The 19,361-nt window shown below is 39.8% G+C and overlaps 2 pseudogenes; one reads left to right on the plus strand and one right to left on the minus strand.

Annotated features, from left to right (window-relative positions):
• H3P24 (H3 histone pseudogene 24) lies at positions 9,093 to 9,758 on the plus strand (annotated as a pseudogene).
• On the minus strand, positions 12,913 to 13,096 carry RNU2-49P (RNA, U2 small nuclear 49, pseudogene; annotated as a pseudogene).

Raw genomic sequence — 19,361 nt, forward strand, 5'->3', positions numbered from 1 at the left:
TAAGAAAGGAGAGGGGCAGAAAGAGAGGGCTGAACTTGTTTAATTAAAAAAACAAACCCACTCCCATAATAATGAACCCAGTCCAGTGATGACAGCATTAATCCATTCATGAGGGCAGAGCCCTCATGGCCTAATCACCTCTTAAAAGATTTCACCTCCTGGGCCAGGTGCGGTGGCTTGCGCCTGTAATCCCAGCATTTTGGGAGGCTGAGGCGGATGGATCACAAGGTCAGGAGATCGAGACCATCTTGGCTAACACAGATGAAACCCTGTCTCTACTAAAAATACAAAAAAATTAGCAAGGCATGGTGGTGGGCCCCTGTAGTCCCAGCTACTCGGGAGACTGAGGCAGGAGAACGGCGTGAACCCAGGAGGTAGAGCTTGCAGTGAGCCAAGATTGCACTACTGCACTCCAGCCTGGGCGACAGAGTGAGACTCCATCTCAAAAAAAAAAGTTACCTCCTATGTTAGTCTATTTTCACACTGCTATGAAGAACTATCTGAGATTGGGAAATTTATTTTAAAAAAGAGGTTTAATTGACTCACAGTTCCATATGGCTGGGGAGTCCTCAGGAAACTTACAATCATGGCAGAAGGCAAAAGGTAAACAAGGCATGTCTTACATGGCATCAGGAGAGAGAGAGAAAGAGAGAAGAACTGCCACACACTTTTAAACGATCAGATCTTAAGAGAAATCCTTCACTATCACAAGAACAACATGGGGAAACCCACCCTCATGATCCAGTCACCTCCCACCAGGGCCCTCCCTGGGCATTACAATTCAAGATGAGATTTGGGTGGAGACACAGAACCAAACCATATCATTCTGCCCGTGCCTCCAAATTTCATGTCCTTCTCATATTTCAAAACACAATCATGCCTTCCCAACAGTCCTCCAAAGTCTTAATTCATTCCAGGATTAACCCAAAAGTCCACAGTCTCATCTGAGATAAGGCAAGTCCCTTCCACCTAGGAGCCTGTAAAATCAAAAGCAAGTTAGTTACTTCCAAGACATAATGGAGATACAGGCATTGGGTAAATGTTCCCATTCCAAATGGGAGAAATTTGCCAACACAAAGGGACTACAGTCCTCATGCAAATCTGAAACCCATCAGGACAGCCATTAAATCTTAAAGGTCTGAAATAATCTCCTGTGACTCCATGCCTCACATCCAGGGCATCCTTAGGCAAGGGGTGAGCTCCCAAGGCCTTAGGCAGCTCCACCTCTGTGGCTCTGCAGGGTAAAGCCCCCACAGCTGCTTTCACTGGCTGGTGTTGAGTGCCTGAAGCTTTTCCAGGCACATGGTGCAAGCTGTCAATGGATCTATCATTCTGGGGTTGGAGGATGGTGACCCTTTTCTCACAGCTTCACTAGTCAGTGCCCCAGTGTGGACTCTATATGGGGGCTCCAACCCAACATTTCCCCTCAGCATTGCCTTAGTAGTGGTTCTCCATGAGAGCTCAACTCCTGCAGCAGACTTCTGCCTGGACATCCAGGCATCTCCATACCTCCCCTGAAATCTAGGTAGAGGTTTCCAAACCTCAACTCTGGGCTTCTGTGCACCCTCAGGTACAACACCACATGGAAGTCACCAAGGGTTGGGGCTTGCACCCTCTACAGTCATGGCCCAAGCTGTATCTTGGCCCTTTTTAGCCATGGCTGGAGCTGGAGTGGCTGGGACACAGGGCACCATGTCCCCGGGCTGCACAGAGCAGCAGGACCCTGAGCATGGCCCACAAAACCATTTTTCTCTCCTAGGCCTCCAGGTCTTTGATAGGAGGGATTGCTGTGAAGATCTCTGAAATGCCCTGGAGACTTTTTCCCCATTATTTTGGCTATTAACATTCAGTTTCATTTTAGTTACGCAAATTTCTGCAGCCAAAAGTTTACAGTTCTCCCCAGAAAATGGGTTTTTCTGTTCTACCACATGATTAGGCTGCAAATTTCCCAAACTTTTGTGCTCTGCTTCCCTTTTAAACATAAGTTCCAATTTCTGATTATCTCCTTGTGAATGCATATGACTATATGCTTTTAGAAACAGCCAGATCACATCTTGAATGCTTTGCTGCTGAGAAACTTCTTCTGTCACATACCCTAAATCATCTCTCTCAAGTTCAAAGTTTCACAGATCTCTAGGGCAGGGGCAAAATGTTGCCAGTCTCTTTGCTAAAGCACAGCAAGAGTAACCTTTACTCCAGTTCCCCATAAGTTCCTCAACTCCATCTAAGACCACCTCAGCCTGGATTTCATTGCCCATATCACTAAAACCATTTTGGTCAAAACCATTCAACAAGTCTTTACAAAGTTCCAAACTTTCCTACATCCTCCTGTCTTCTTCTGAGCCCTCCAAACTATTCCAACCTCTGCCCATTACCCAGTTGCAAATTCCCAAGTCATTTCCACATTTTCAGTTCTCTTTATAGCAGTACCCCACTCCAAATACCAATTTTCTGTATTAGTCTATTTTTACACTGCTATAAAGAACTACCTGCGGCTGGGGATGGTGGTTCATGCCTGTAATCTCAGCACTTTGGGAGGCTGAGGTGGGCAGATCACTTGAGGTCAGGAGTTCAAGACCAGCCTGGCCAACATAGTGAAACCCCATCTCTACTAAAAATACAAAAAATTAGCCGGGCATGGTGGCACATGCCTGTAGTCCCAGCTACTTGGGAGGCTGAGGTGGGAGGATCACTTGTAGCTAGGAGGCAGAGGTTGCAGTGAGCTGAGATCATGCCACTGCACTCCAGCCTGGGTGACACAGTGAGACTCTATCTCAAAAAAAAAAAAAACTGCCTGAGACTGGTTAATTTATAAAGAAAAGAGTTTTAATTGACTCACAGTTCTGCTTGGCTGGAGAGGACTCAGGAAACTTACAATCATGGCAGAAGGCAAAGGGAAAGCTAGGCACATCTTACATGGCAGCAAAAGAGAGACAGAGAGGAACAACCACACACTTTTAAACCATCAGGTCTTGTGAGAAGTCACTCACTATCATGAGAACAGCATGGGAAAAATTGCCCCCAATGATTCAATGACCTCCATCAGGTCCCTCCCTCAACACGTGGGAATTACAATTCAAGATGAGATTTGGGTAGGGACACAGAACCAAACCACATAACTTCACAACACTGCCACATTGAGGAATCTAGTTCCCAACACATGAACTTTAGGGGACAAATTCAAACCCTAGCAGATGCCAACAAAAAGACGACATGAATATTGTTTGAATCATTTGACAAGAGTTTTAAAACAGCTAGTATAAAACGGCTTCAGTAAAATTTACAAGTACACTTGAAAAAAATGAAAAAAATAGAAAATCTCAGCAAAAAAAGAACCAAATGGAAATTTTAAAACTGAAAAATGCAACAATATAAATTAAAATTTTAATGGATGGGATCAACGGCACGATGAAGAAGAAAGAGGAAAGAATCCATGAACTTGAAGATAGAGCAACAGAAATTATCTAATGTGAACTACAGATAGAATATAGGCTGAACAAAAATCAACAGAGCCTAAAGTTCCAATGGACCCATACCAAAAGATCTAACTCCATGTCATTGGAGTCCTAGAAGGAGAGGAGAAATCATGAGAATAAAAAAGCACTCAAAAAATAATAGCTGCAAAATATCCCAATTTGGCAAGAAGTATAAACCTACAAAGTCAACAAACTGCAAGATTCAAAATAGGATAAACATAAATGAAAGCCCACCAAGACATATCATAATCAAACTTCTAAAAATCAAAGACAAAAACTGTTCAGAGAGACTCCAGGGTTGCCACACAGTGAGATAACATTTATAAATAGGAAAAAAAAATGATATACGGAAAACAGAAGTGAAGTACAGAAACAGCTGGATTGGTTAAAGGTGGGCATTTACCTTATTTGAAACTGGTTTGAACAGCTGGCTTTCTATGATTGGCTGAAGTTAAGCTGCTGTGATTGGCTGAGCCTCAGCTATTTGTTAAAGTAGTTTACAGTCTATTTACACATCAATTTGGGTTACAGTCTATTATACACTAAGAAGGCTTTAGGCAGTACTTAAAACATAAAGAGACAGCTATAGGCCAACCTTAATTTAACAATATGTTTCTCAATGTACATAAAGGAAGTATTTAAGACAATTATATTATAAATGGAAGTGGGTAAAGGAGACTTAAGTGGGGTTAAGTGTTCTATACTTCACTTGAGCTGGTTAATCTTAACACCAGTACACTGTGTTAATTTATGTAGGTATAATATAATAACTTGAACAACCTTTAAAAAAGACTATAAAGAGAAATAGACTCAAAAATCCCAGATAAATAAATATGGACTTTCAAAAAATGTTCTTGTAACCTACAGGAAATCAGGGAAAGAAAAGAAAAATTAAAAACATAAGAAAAAAAGAATATACATAAATCAAAATGGCAGACTTGGGCCCTAATATATAGACAGTTTTTTTAAATGATTATGGATGGGGTGGGTGTGACACATTTCTCAGAATCCTACTATTTTGTGCTGTAAGCCTTCACTTTTTAAAATGAAGGGCTGCATTCCCAGATATACCCAGAATGGTTAAAGTTACATTTTCCCCCACGATTTTCCATTCCTTTGACTCATTTCATGCTTATCAATGTTCAAAGCCACAGACCTCAGAAACTAAAGCAGTAATCGGCCAGGTACCCTTTACAATTAAACTAAAGCTATGACATTATATTCAGCAACTTCTCCAAACCAAGGCTTTCCAAACACTTCCGAATTAAATTAAGTTCTTTTTCCTATCCTACCTCTTCCTTTTAACCAACTGTGAAGACAATGTTATAATGTTACCAAGAAGAGGTTCTCCAGCATATTGTGTGATAATAATAAACACTGTAGTTAGGAATGGAATAAAAGAATTTGAAATAAGTCTATCTGTGGTTTAAAAGCATCTCTCTTTTCTCCTTATGTCAACCTCGAGGTTCGTAAGCTAATTCTTGGTGACTTGACTCCCTTTTACATAGAAGAGAATTGTATCTATTTTGAGGGTTAAATAAATTTGATAAATGCGAATGTGTTTGGCATAGGTCAAGGTAAACAGTAGGTACTTAATATTAGATTTCCTCCTTCAATCTCAGATTTCTATTAGGCAAGCAAATCTGTAAATCTTTAGAATAAAGCTCTACTGTACATTTTCGTGTTTTCTTTTTCATTTTTGGTGAACCTGAGTACAATCCTGATATATAGATCACTTAGAGAAGAAACTATTACAGTTTTTAAACCTGCTGATACTATCACTTATCTGTAAAGTGACCAGTTAATCTATTATCCAGTTTGCAACACCTTTGAGAATGAAAGCAGAAACTAGCACTATATTACTCCAGGACATTATGACTGCCTTGGAAAAATCAGGATGCAGAGTCATAGACAGGAAATCAGCTGTGACCTAGAAGCCAAATCACAAAGGCATCAGAGCAGCCAAAATAAAGATTCCCAAATTCTCTTGAGGGTATACGTTATATTCATGGGAAAACTCCAGTAACTCTCAGAAGAGCCAACTTACTCTAATTTACACCAAATTTATCAATATTGCTTTTCTAGTTTTTAATTCACAAGGACATTGACTATAACAAGACACTATAACCGTGAATAGAAGACAGAGGATCCCCAGAAGTAAAGCATTTTAGGACTTGTAGCAAACAGTTACAAAGCTCAAGAGCAGGAAATAGCTGTGTCATAGAACAGTGCCAACTATCATGTTCATAAGGTTGACCCTGGATCATTAGAGAAAGTTTGATTCACGTTCAGGTATCATTTAAAGCCCTAATGAAGAGTGAACTCCATTTCTATCCAAACTGTTTTTTAAAATTTTGTTTTGTTTTTCAAAGGATAAATGTCTCAGTATTTGAAACTCAGCCAATCAGAAAACACAATGGTGGGTTTAGCTTGAACCCAAGCTAGGCCTGGCCTAGGATTCACAGCTATGTAATCACAAGAAGAAAGTCCATGGAGAGGGACTTCAGGGCTCCTTGAGAAGGACCTCCTCTAAAGAAAAGGAAAGACTTACAAGAGAAGGTGTGATATGGCCTAGCTCTGTGTCCCCACCCAAACCTCATGTTGAATTGTAATCTGAATTGTAATCCTCATATGTTGGGGAAGATACCTTGTGTGAGGTGATTAGATCATGGGGGCAGTTCCCCCATGCTGTTCTCTTGACAGTGAGTGAGTTCCCAGATATCTGACGGGTTTATGAGGGGCTTTCCCACTTTGCTCAGCACTTCTCTCTCCTGCCACCAAGTGAAGGACGTGTTTGCTTCCCCTTCCCTCATAATTGTAAGTTTCCTGAGGCCTCCCCAGCCATGCGGAACTTTGAGTCAATTAAACCTATGTTCTTTATAAATTACCCATGCTTGGTCAGTTCTTTATAGCAGCATGAGAACAGACTAATACAAGGTGATAGGAGAGTAGCCACTGAATGAGAGAAGGGCATTTCTGAGAAATTATGGTTCTTACTGCTACCTGGCCCATTTCCTCCCTCTCCTCCTGTACTCTTCTACACCACCTCCATCTGCAATCTGTGCAAGAGGCTTGGAGAGGGTAGCCCCCAACATATGTACATTTGATAATAGCTGAAAATACTGTGTGTGAGCCACACATGAGACAGCCCAGGGACTTGGAAAGGTCTCAAAATCTCACAATAGAGAAGACAGATGACAGCCAGTAAATCCTGTACTACTTTCATGGTGGCCCCAGGCTGATGGGGCCTGAGATCCCAGATCCGAGACTTATTTGAAGATCTGGATAGCTAAGATTTTTGCTGTGCATTGTTGAGCAATTCTACTTCCCTTATTATCTACATGGATAACACCTGAAGATTTTACACACAAATTTTTTTCTGATTATAAAAAGAATATATCTATAACTACCAATGTAAAGGTAATATCCAAGTATTAATTGTGAAGACAAGAGGGAATATATAAATATATGTTATATATGTATTGTAAATATAAATATATATTAATATGCATACATTTATATCTATACATATACATATACACATACATACATAGATTTATAGCTATACAGATATATAGAATATATGTTCCCTTCGGGAATGTGGGAGAATAAAGGTAGATCAAATAGCTGAAAGAAACAAAAATCTGAGAAACTTGTTAGTGTTTCCAATATGTAACTAAAATTTTTTTATACATGCACTTGTGTGCCTGTGCATACGTATTTGAAATTTTTTGTATCCTGCTATGGGGGGAGTTATTTGGTGAATGATGTCTTGGGAGACAGAGACTCTAATAGAATTATTATAATTTAGATCAATTTAGCTTAAATTTCTCTCCTGGGGACCTTATACAAGGTTTATTTTTTTCACAAACTGTTACCTCTCTTGAATAAATTATTAAAATATCTCCCTATGTAAATTAGCTCTCATTCAAATACTGAAAACTATTTTGTGTGTGTACGTATACACACTGGCTCTGGGATTAGTTTAAGGCATATAAAATTGACATGGAATGCGATTAATTTATATTGAATTATTAAGAGGTCATTTAGCTTATTTTTATTTATTTTTTTAAGAGACAGGATTTCTCTCTGTTACCCACACTGAAATGGAGTGGCACCATTTTAGCTCACTGCAGCCTTGAACTGCTGAGTTCAAATGATCCTGCAATCTCAGCCTCCCAAGTAGCTGGGACTACCAGTATGCGCTAATTTTTTTTTAAAGGTTTTTGATAGATACAGGGCTTGGCTATGTTGACTAGGCTGGTCTTGAACTCCTAGCCTCAAGTGATCCTCCTGCCTCTGCCTCCCAAAGAGCTGGGATTACAGGCATGAGCCACCACACTCAGCTGATAATTTAAAATAACATACATTTATTTTACTGTGAAAAATAGTAATGCACAGTGTTGATACATGAGAGAAGCCCCAAAATGATACCTCTCTTCTCGTTGAGTTTTAAAGTAAGATCAAAAGAACAAGGCTGGGCAAGGTGGTTCACACCTATAATCCCAAAACTTTGAGAGGCCAAGGTAGAAAGATGGCAAGATGGCTTAAGCCCAGGAGTTCGGAACCAGCATGGGTTGGTTCTTCTCTACAGAAAATTTAAAAATTAGCTGGGGTAGTGAAGCATGCCTGTGCTCCCAGTTACTTGGGAGGCTAAGGTGGAAGGATTGTTTGGGCCCAGGAAGTCAAGGCTACAGTGAGCCGTGATCACACTGCTGCACTCCAGCCTGGGTGACAGAGCAAGAAAAAAAAAGAAAAGAAAAGGAAAAGAAAAGAAACAGATGTAAAATTGAAATATTACCTTTATTGTTGATAAAACTGATACTGGAGAAGGAAGCTTATATCTGCAGACAAGCAAGCTGCCTGATATTGGAACCAGAATTAGAGATTCTGCTCCCAGGAGTGCTAGTCAAGGCCACCATCTCAATGTAGAGGAGGAAGACACATATCCTTTGTAGGGCAGCTCACTGCCAGAAGGAATGAAAAGTGAAGAGTTTACACTTTGTATGCCCATTTTTCTCCTCCAAACTCATGGGTTTATAAGTAAAGGAGTGAAGAAAGTGTTATATAATCAATGTCCTTCACATGGAAAGAAACGTCAGGAGAGTTTCCTAAACATGTTGTCTAGTTGTGTTTTTTATTAACCATTAACCCTTGGGTGCAGCTGCTCCTTTGGGGGAAAATATCAGCAGGCTCTCAGTCCATGCTCCCATCTCATGGGTGCTTCTGCAATACCAACAACTTCCCCTTTGAATATCATCCTGGAACCACCAGAGAGCAGTTTTGATTTTGCCCCCAGAAGAGTCTTAAATGCATCGGAACAGTATAGTAGGTAAATTAAGTCCAAAGCCACTTTCTACCCAATTCCAAAAGTTGACTGCCTATTCTGTTTTTCATCACAAGTCCTGAGCAGCCTCCTGCACCAGCATAGTCTATTAGAGGTTCAATATGAAGACAGTCCAACAAAAAATGGTCAGCAAGCATAGAAATATGAATATAAACTCTCTTCCATTAAAAGGTCACAAGAATTGTTTGAGGCCAGGAGTCTGAGACCAGACTGGGAAATACAGCAGGACCCCATCTCTACAAACAATTTTTTAAAATTACCAGGTGTGGGCCGTTGCTCTCCAACGCCAGCACCACCTCTCACTCGCTGAGCTCCAGCCTAAGGAGAAGGGGGGTAAGTAAGGAGGTCTCTATACCATGGCTCTTACAAAGCAGACTGCCTGCAAATCCACCGGTGGTGAAGCACCCAGAAAGCAAGTGGCTACAAAAGCCGCCTGCAAGAGTGCGCCCACTACTGGAAGGATGAAGAAGCCTCATTGTTACAGGCCGGTTCTGTGGCACTCCGAGAAATTAAACATTATCAGAAGTCCACTGAACTTCCGATTCGCAAACTTCCCTTTCAGTATCTGGTGGAGAAATTGCTCAGGACTTTAAAACAGATCTGGGCTGCAGAGCGCAGCTACTGGTGCTTTGCAGGAGGCAAGTGAGGCCTATCTGGTTGGCCTTTTTGAAGACACCAACCTGTGCGCTATCCATGCCAAACGTGTAACAATTATGCCAAAAGACATCCAGCTAGCACGTTGCATACGTGGAGAATGTGCTTAAGAATCCACTATGATGGGAAACATTTCATTCTCAAAAAAAAAAATTATCTTCTTGCTGTTATTGGTAGTTCTTGTGAATTTTTAATGTAAATGCAGGGACGTAAAGCGTTAATGCAAGTCAAAATGTTTCAGTGAACAAGTTTCAGCAGTTCTGCTTTGTAATAATTATAAATAAACCTGTTAATTTTTTTTCTGGAAAAAAATTACCAGGTGTGGTAGTGCATACCTGTAGGACTGCTTGAGCTTGAGCCCAGAAGTTTGAAATCACAGTGAGCAATGATCACACCACTGCACCCCAGCCTGGCAACAGAGCAATACTGTATCTCAAGAAAAATAAAGAGTTCACAAGAGCAACTAAGCCTGCTTACAAGATGACTCTAAAAACATTATTGTCCAATGGAATTAAAAGTCCAGAATCAGTTTCCCTTGCCATTCAGTGTTAATGTCCAAAGACATACCAATTCAAAATTTACCCCTCTCAATCTCTTATCTTGTTCAGTTTTCAGATAGAGATTCTCCATCTTGGATAATGTGATTCTTTCAGCAGTTACAGCTTAAGCTGTTCCATAACAGAATTAGTGTAGTTCTCAAGATGTAGTATTACTTCACGCTAAATCTTTCATGTACCACCCTTGGAAAAAGTTCAGAGTTAATTAGTAGTACTTAATAGCACTGGTCCCACATTTACCAAATTTAGAAAATTGCTGCATCCCCAGTCCCTAGGGCAGTTATCCCAGAACAAAATTATATTCTCCCAACTCAGTACTTAGTCTAAACCAAAGAGAGTTGGCAAAGACCGCAGCAGAGATTCGGCAGCATTGAGTGGAAGAAGACACTTTCTTGGTTTGAGCTGCACCAGTATGCCAGAGTTTATGCCACTTGTCCATAGGCCATGATCTGGGAGCTTAACAATAACTAGGAAATGGCTCTTGGCAAGAGTTTATTTTTGGAACCATGAATTTTCCAGATGGGGAGAGAAATACTCCTACGCATATTGTCACCTCTCAGAAAAGAGCATTTAAGATACTGCTGCTTTGAGCAAAGTCCAGAGAGCTGACCTAGGGGCATTCCCAGTCTTATTTGAGGTGCCTTTCTTTCCCATCCAGTATATTCAAAACTTCCTAAATTGTTCTTTGTCCTTTGAATCCCATGTTTCTAGTGTTCAAAGATATTTTAAAAAGAAGCAAAATCATGACTCTCATATAGATAGAAAATGAGCACATGTTAAAGATGTTATGTAACCCATTAATTAAGTGGAGAAACCAGGCAACTGGTTCAAAGGAGAAGTCATAGAAGTACAAATTTTTATGGACTAAGAAATGTTGATGTGAATGCTCATTTGGATGCAAAACTGGCTTCTGCATGGGCATGGGGTAGTGAGAGGATGAGGGAGTATTGTTCCTCCACCAGAAAAAATTTCACTTCAAAAAAATTTCAAAATACAAAGAAAGTAATTATTTTGATTGGCATCAGTTATTTTCCTACTTACAGAGTTAGAAAATAGCTCCCATAGAATAGAAATTAGATAACCATGAAGGGTGTATTGTGCTAGTCTAGATGTGACATAGTTTCATAGTTTTCCATTGGAGCACACATCTTCCTTCACTAGCACCCCAATATTGAACTGAACGTAGGCACCGCCAAGTTACACAGCAATCATATTCTTTTCTGATCTGGCTTTTTCTGTCTTTGCTCATAGAGGCTGTTTCTACTACCTCTTACTGCCAGGTCAGTAGTCCTAAGAACTCTGCATTCTAATCTGGGACATCTTGAGATCACACAATGAGGAGTGATCCTTGAATCTGTGTACAAATCCTATGAATTTAAGGTTAGCTCCTTCACAGCTCACTCTTTGGTCCTGGATGCAGAATGAAATTGGAGCAGCTCATCTAGTGCTCCCTCCCAGGGTCTGGCACTCTTAACTGAAACTTCCTGCAACATACACACACGCATGCACAGACACACACACACCACACACACAAATACCCTTCAGCTGCACTGCATTTTAAAAGCACCAAAAGTGTGCTGCTTTTAAAGTATGTCCAAAGACTTTCCCCTACCCCCTTACAAATGGACTACTGCCTTAGCTTTTTCAGTATTAAGCCCTTTGAGGCCCACTAGAATCTGTCCAGAAGCCCAAGAGGCCAGAGCATTTATGCCTGTGTAATCCAAGGACAGGCAGCAGCCAGCTGAGCAAAGCCCCCACTGGGGGACAGTAGCTTTGTTGAGGACAGGAAGGCCAGTGTCTGCTTGCTCACCAGCCCCCTCATGGCTAGCTTCTGAAGGCAACTGTGGGCCCCATGCATTTGTCGGGTCTGCCTTCAAAAAGATAGCTATTGGCCTGTGGATAAGGCCTTCATAAACAGCAGTAATCAGCAAGTTCAAAATACCACATAGCCCAAGGGATAGAGCCTCTGACCTAGACTGCAACAGTGCAAAGCCAACTGCACAGCTGTTCAGACTGACTGCATCAAACCACCAAAGTCACCAAGACAATAAAAAGGGTTGTCCATTAAGCATGTCATATCATCAGCTATGAGATATATTCCAATTAGAAAGCAGTAAAAATGAAAGAGAAAAATGTGAGTCTTAGAATCAATTAAGTATAGCAGTAATAGTAACAATAGCCAAAATGTGGGTGTAGTTACTATATGCCAGGCTCTGTTTAAACCTTTACTTGTATTGCCTCATTTAATTCTCACAACAGCTTTACGAAAGCAGGCATTATTCATAGAATCCCCATTTACAGAAAAAAATGGAAGTAGAGTGAGATTAGAAATTAGTCCAGGGCCACCTGGGTATTAGATAGTGGAGCCAGTCAGTCTGAGTATGAATATCTACATTACATTCTTGTAGCTCATTTGGAAAGTATAGAAATATAGAGAGAGGCAGGAGGAAAAGCCATTTGTCATCTTATCCCTGAAAGACAACATTAAAACTTTGACACTGTTCCTCCCAGTAATTAAAAAAAATTCTTTATTATTTTTATTTTTTATTTTTTGAGATAGAGTTTCCCTCTTGTTGCCCAAGCTGGAGTGCAATGGCGCGATCTCAGCTCACTGCAACCTCTACCTCCTGGATTCAAGTGACTCTGCCTCCTGAGCAGCTGGGACTACAAACATATTGCACCCCACCCAGCTAATATTTTTTTTTTTTTTTTTTTTTTTTTTTGTAGAGATGGGGTTTCACCATGTTGCTCAGGCTGGTCTCAAACTCCTGAGCTCAAGCGATCCTTCCACGTTGGCTTCCAAAAGTGTTGGGATTACAGACATAACCACCACACCCAGCCTTGATCTACTTTTTGTTGCAACCATTCTATACCCCAAAGGGGATGCACCATTCCTGGAGGTACTGTAATACCAGGTCAATGGGTGGAGTGGGGCAAGTTACTAGTCCATCTACTAGCTCCAAAAATCCATTCAATATATTATCCTCCGATAGAGGATGTATCAGATATTAAACTGATATAAACAGATACCACACTTGATCTTACCCAGGCCGAGAAGTGGTAAAAATAAATTTTCTATGAGGCTTTTAATAATCAATGTTTTTGAAGTGATTGTTTTTATAGGAACCAGATGGAACTATTAATAATTATCATCCCATCCAACACTCCAGAACAGCCCTACCATGGGTCCTTTGAACTCCAAGATTGTTGGGAATCCCAGCCAGTTCTTTCCTTGCTTTGTCCCTTTATGGGGTTAATCCAAGCCTTCCCATGGTTTGCAACATTTCCACATGCTGCTAAAGAAGGCCATGCAGTAGTAGTGATGTTTCTTGTGTGCCTGTCTTAGACCCTGAGCACTGTCACATGATCCCACTGAATTATTGCAGTAAATGATCCCAGACCCCTTGAGACACCATATGGCAAGCAACCAGATATCACAAAAGTATGACTTGTATTTCTGGGCAAGCAGCAGTCTCAGAGGACTAAGCTTTTCCTAGGCCTTGAAACCCTTGCAGCTGCCAGTAGCTGGATGAAATACGCATCTCCAGGTGGAAGAATGGTCATCAGCCCACCCCAGAGAGAGCCTGACACTTGAGAATACAAGTGGGGCTTAAAGCACGTGCAAAACAAAGTCGAAGACCTTGTCGGTACTAATGACATCAGCTTTTCACACACAGCAAACCCAGACAAATGGAATGCAGATAACTACATATTGCATGAACAAATTAAAAGAAATATGCTTTGATTTTTTTTCCCTTTAAATCCATACAGAAAGAAACAAGCGTGCAGGGTGCGGTGGCTCATGCTTATAATCCCAGCACTTTGGGAGGCCGAGGCAGGCAGCTCACATGAGGTCAGGAGTTTGAGACCAGCCTGAAAAATTAACTGGGTGTGGTGGTGCACACCTGTTGTCCCAGCTAATCAAGAGGCTGAGGCAGTAGGATCGCTTGAACCTGGGAGGCTGAGGTTGCAGTGAGCCAAGATCACGCCACTGCACTCCAGCCTGGGTGATGGAGTGAGACTCCATCTCAAAAAAGAAAGAGAAAGAGAGGTGTGGTGCCTTACACTGCCAGGGCCTCCAAAGACCTAATATATAATTGGGGATATATAATATAGAAATAAACTTGTGGCTGGTACAGATTTTCTCAAACTAGGTGGGGCAGGCTTGGCTGCATTCTCAAGGATTTGGTAATTTTGTGAGGAATTTTAAATGTTAATTTTTCATTTTAAAGATAGTACAAAAATAACTTCACCTGTTATAAAGATTATTTGCAGTGACAATTCATATTTGAAAAACTTTGCTTGTAGAATAAGACTTTTGTTCCATAAAGTAGTATTTTTCCCACTGAAGTAAGTAGACATAGTTTTGAGACTTCATGAAACTTTTTTGCCTTTACAAGGTTAATGTAGCTCCCAGATTTAAGAAACATTGGTCTGGGACATTTTTAAAAATTGAAAACTGTAAGACATAATTATAATTTGGTATTAGTCCCTCTTTATTTCAGTTTCTCAACCACAAAACTTTCTTCCAGCCTCTCCCTTAAATGAGATGTAAAGTCAGGTGAGATTAATGTGCACTACAGCTCCATAAGAGGAAAGATACAGGCTAAATGGAGGGCATGAATTGCTTTAAGCATAAATATAGTTACTGAGGAGAAGTGCAAATCACTACGGATCAGAAAAAAGGTGATTCTTACCTAGCAGCCTTGTGACAGTGAGGCTATGAAATACAGGCTCAGAGCCAGCTGGTTGGCTCCTCCGCAGTGGCAGAAATTCCCCAACTGTGACCATCATAGGAAGACTAGGCAGAAGCCACGTGGGGCTTCTATTTGGGCTAAATGAGCAAAGCAAAGACATATGGAGAGGATTGCAGCAAGGAGGAGCAGGTGACAGTGCAAGTAAAAGTACCTAGCACAGTGCTTCGCACAAACCAGGTGGTCTACACATGTTTATTCCTTCTGACTCTTTAGTTCAAGTAAATATTTAGTGGAAAAATTGAGAGATTTTAAAAAGAAAGAATTCAACAATTTGGTTTGACAGGACTGTTGTTTTGACTTATATCCCAGATAAGTTTTTGTATGAACTGATATCTCAGATATAGACCAAATGAACAGATTCACATCCAACAAGCCTATGTAGATATTTGCTGTAAGCCAGACACACGTTAGGTGACTTTGCAAAGGCAATCCCAGTCCTTCCCAAATCCTCCAATGTCCTATTAATTAACAGTCTCATCTCAAATACATAATAAATAAATAATGAACAGTCTTATCTCGTACGACTCTGGAAGTCCAAAGCCTAAAGTTCCTAGGAGGAAACTCCCATTTTCCAAGTGGTTTTCCGTTCAGTTCACTTTATGCCACACTGTGAACACGGCTCCTTCTCCATCATTCCCCAAAGCTTATATAGGGCTGTCGGGCCCCTAAAGTGAATTCTGCTGCTTCTCTAGAAAAATAGAAGCCTACTGCTACTGCCTCTGCTCCAAGATTCTTATCACATACTCCAAGAGTCTCTTTCCATTCCTTACTCTTACCTTTAATTCCTGACCCTAGACAAATTATCCTGCCTAGAAAAAGAGAAGCCACCTTAGGCCAGCCCCTGAGATTCCCTCAGAGTGAGCAATTCAAAAGGTCAAGGTTGAAGCTGAAATGTTGTTTGTGATCTGACCTCTGAAGTCACACGCCATCACTTCCACCATATTTCACAGCACATGCAGACCAGCTCTCCTTTCATTATGGGAGGATGCTGCACATGCGCAGGAATATCAGGAAGTAAAGATCATTGATGGCCTTCTTGGAGACTGGCTACCACTTTGCCACTGGCTTTGGGCAAGTCCCATAACCCCTCTGAACACCAAGTTCCTCATCTACGAAATAGAAATTAATAATAGTCTCTACCTCATTAGGTTGTTTGAAAATGAGAAAATACATGTTAATTCTTTTCACTTACCAGGAACTCAGTATACATTAACCGTAATCACAATAATTCTACCATCAATACTGTTGGATAATAACTAAAAGCTTTCCCACACTAAAACCATATATCTATCTGACCAGTCCACAGAGAAGTCCACATTGCTTAAGCCACGAAGTGGAGGCATGCACAAAGCCACTCACACCTTCACATCCTTTCCTTCATAGATTCACAGAACCTTACAGCTGCCCATCTCTTCTCTCTCCCTGCCCTATTGATCACACATTGCAACTCTCTATATTGAACAACTTACAGTCCCATGTTATTCCACATTTTTAGTCTTTGTACATGCACCTCCTTCTGCATGGAATGCTCTTTCTTTCCAGCTCTCTAATACCTCACCTAACTTCAACTCATCCTTCTTTACTCAATAAATATATTGATTTGTTTTCCTAAGTATTTTCTTTCTCTTTTTCCTTTTCTTTCCTTTTTTCCTCTCTCTTTCCCCTGTATATGTATTTAGCCCTCCTTTTTCCCCGTATTTTCTTTCATCTACTCAAAAAATTCCTACCAAGTGTCAACCATGTGCCAGGAAAAAACTAGCAAGACAAAAGCCCTGTCCTCCTGGAATATCTAGTTTACTGAGACAATTAGTACCCTCTCTCCAAAGGAAATACATACATACATAAGACGTCAGGTCATGATGAGTGCAGTGAAGAAATATTAAACTGGGGAAATAGAGAAAATGTTGTAGAACTGCAGACCAATTTTAGAGTAAATTTAAATAAATTTTAAATAGATTTAGCTTCCTATAGACTATGAACACCTCAGGGTCAGATATTAGATCATTTACCTCTATTTCTCCAGTGATTAACAATGTGTCTGGAGCTAAGAATATGTTTAATAAATATTTGTTGAATAAAATAAAGAAATAAATATATGTATGTATGAATAAATGAATAAATGTTAGATTCCAATATAAACCCTATATGAAAAAAACTGAGGCCCAGAAAAAGTTGATTTACTCAAGAAAGCTTACTTCAAGGACAATGCTGTTTTTACTGTGTCATATTACACATGCCTAAAACATCTTTGTTTTAATAATACCCTATCTGCTCCTTTTTTACTGTTGTCTAGACTTGGCTACTTGAATGAAATTCTAAAGAGCTTGTTTTTCTAGCTTTTTACTTAATCTTCATGGAAACCATCACTGTTTACTCTAGAATAGATAAAGGGCTTCACCAAAGTCTCAACAGTATATTAGCTCACTTGGTCAACCAGTTGTTTGGTCATAAACCACAAGGATTCAGAATGTGCAGCTGATCAGGAACCAGAAAAGAGTTCCCACTAAAATCCCTTAGGATTCGATTCTTTTAGAGAAGAAAAACAAATCTAGGACCATAATCCTCAAACTTTTGGACTCAGGACAACTTTACCCTCTTAAAAATTATGGAACATCCCAAAGAGCTTTTGTTTTTGTGGATTATATCTATTGATATTCACTGTAATGGAAACTAAAATTATGTAATTTCTAAAAATATTTACTTATTTTAAAATAATAACAGATTCATTAAATGTTAACATCTTTTAATGAAAAATAGCTATATTTTCTAGAATAAAAAAGGTAATGAGTGAAATGGCTTTTTTACACTTCTGAGAATCTCTTCAATGTATGCTTAATAGAAGAAAGCTGGATCCTCCTATCTACTTCTGCATTTTTTTTGTTATGATAGCATTTGTCATTTAGCCTCTGGAAAATTCCACTGCACATTCATGAGAGAATGAATAGAAAAAGTCAAATAACATTTCAGTATTATTACAAAAGCAGTTTTGATCTTGTGGACTCTATGAAAAGGACTTGTGGTGGGGGAGGTCCCTAAGCATCCCCTTGTCCATACTTTCAGAAGTGCTGGTTTTGAGAGTCATAAATTTGTATTTAAAAAAACAAAAAGAAAATAAAATTAAACTATGTTTCAGGTTTTTATTCTAAACGTGTATCTATTTTTATACTCCTATAGGAGTCGTTCTCAACTTTTAGTGTGCTTAAGAATCATTTAGGAGGCATAGTTAAAATGCTGATTTGGCTTCTACCCCCAAAGTTGCTGATTCCTTAAGTTTGGGCTAGGACCTAGGAGGGTGCACTTTTTAACAAGTTCTCACTCCAGGGCTCTATCCCCCGGATAATAATAATCCATGCCGCATTATTTGAGAAAAACCATTCCAAAGCAAAAAATATCATGGATAGTTTACAAAACTAAAGCATTTCAGTAAGATGAAATTTTAAATTTTGAAGTAAAAGTATCTGACTTAAAACAGAGAAAGAGATCAAGAAAAGAGAAACCCATTTCTTGTGATACACGCAGGTCCACTCTATGGTTATTGCACCAAGATCGTGTGTTATTGCTAGCATAAGGAATTTTCCTGTCCTCCAGATTTCCCTTTAGCCAAAGGTCCCTTAAGTCATCCAAACACAGTTCTTCATTCTACTACTAATATATTTACTTTCTGGCCTTAAAAAAAAAAACTTCTAGAAGTAGCTAAAGATATCATTAAAACGTATAAAAGAAAAACACATTAAGATAGTTGTTCTTTGCCTAAACACAATGACGGTGATTAAATTCACCATTTCATTCATTCATTTATCAAATAGCCACAAAGCTTGTAGGCTAGGTCCTGGAAATATCAATATGTTTACCCTATAGGCTGTCCCATTTCTGTTAAAGGCAAAACCATCCACCTAGCTGTTCAAGCTGGAAACCCATGAGTCACTCTTAATATCTTCCTTTTCTTTATACGCTCCGTTTCTCATCTATGTACTAGTGCTGAACTCCAAAATATACCTCAAACTTGTTGACCTGTTTCTGTCTCTACCACCTTCACTTTAGTTAAGCCACTATCATCTTATGCCTGGACTCCTGCAATTGTTCCTAACTGTTCATTCATTCATTCATTCATTCATTCAATATTGATGAGGACCTACCAAGTACCATGAACTTTTCAACACTCTAAAGACAGAGCAGAGAAACAAAACAGGCAAAATCCCTGCTTAATGGAACTTTCATTTTGGTGGATGGGAGACAGACAAAAAACGAATTATACAAATAAATGTGGATATGTCAAGTAGATAATTAGGTATAGAGTTGGGTGTTCAAGGGAGAGATCAGGACATATTTTAGTATTCTGGAAGTTCCAAGAACATGTCAAGCACTCATTTGCATATATTATTCCCTCTACATGGGACCCCCTTATCTTTATATTTTTTTAGAAGTTGGTGCCTTCCCACATCTTAGCCTACATGTCATCTACCTAGAGAGGACCTTGGCCACCCAATCTAAATTAAGTCCCTTCCTATAATATCCTCTCAATAACACCTGTTTATTTTCCTTCTTAGCCCATACCACAACTTGCAAAGTA

The sequence above is a fragment of the Homo sapiens genome, chromosome 5 (assembly GCF_000001405.40).
Source record: "Homo sapiens chromosome 5, GRCh38.p14 Primary Assembly".
Taxonomy (NCBI): Eukaryota; Metazoa; Chordata; class Mammalia; order Primates; family Hominidae; genus Homo; species Homo sapiens.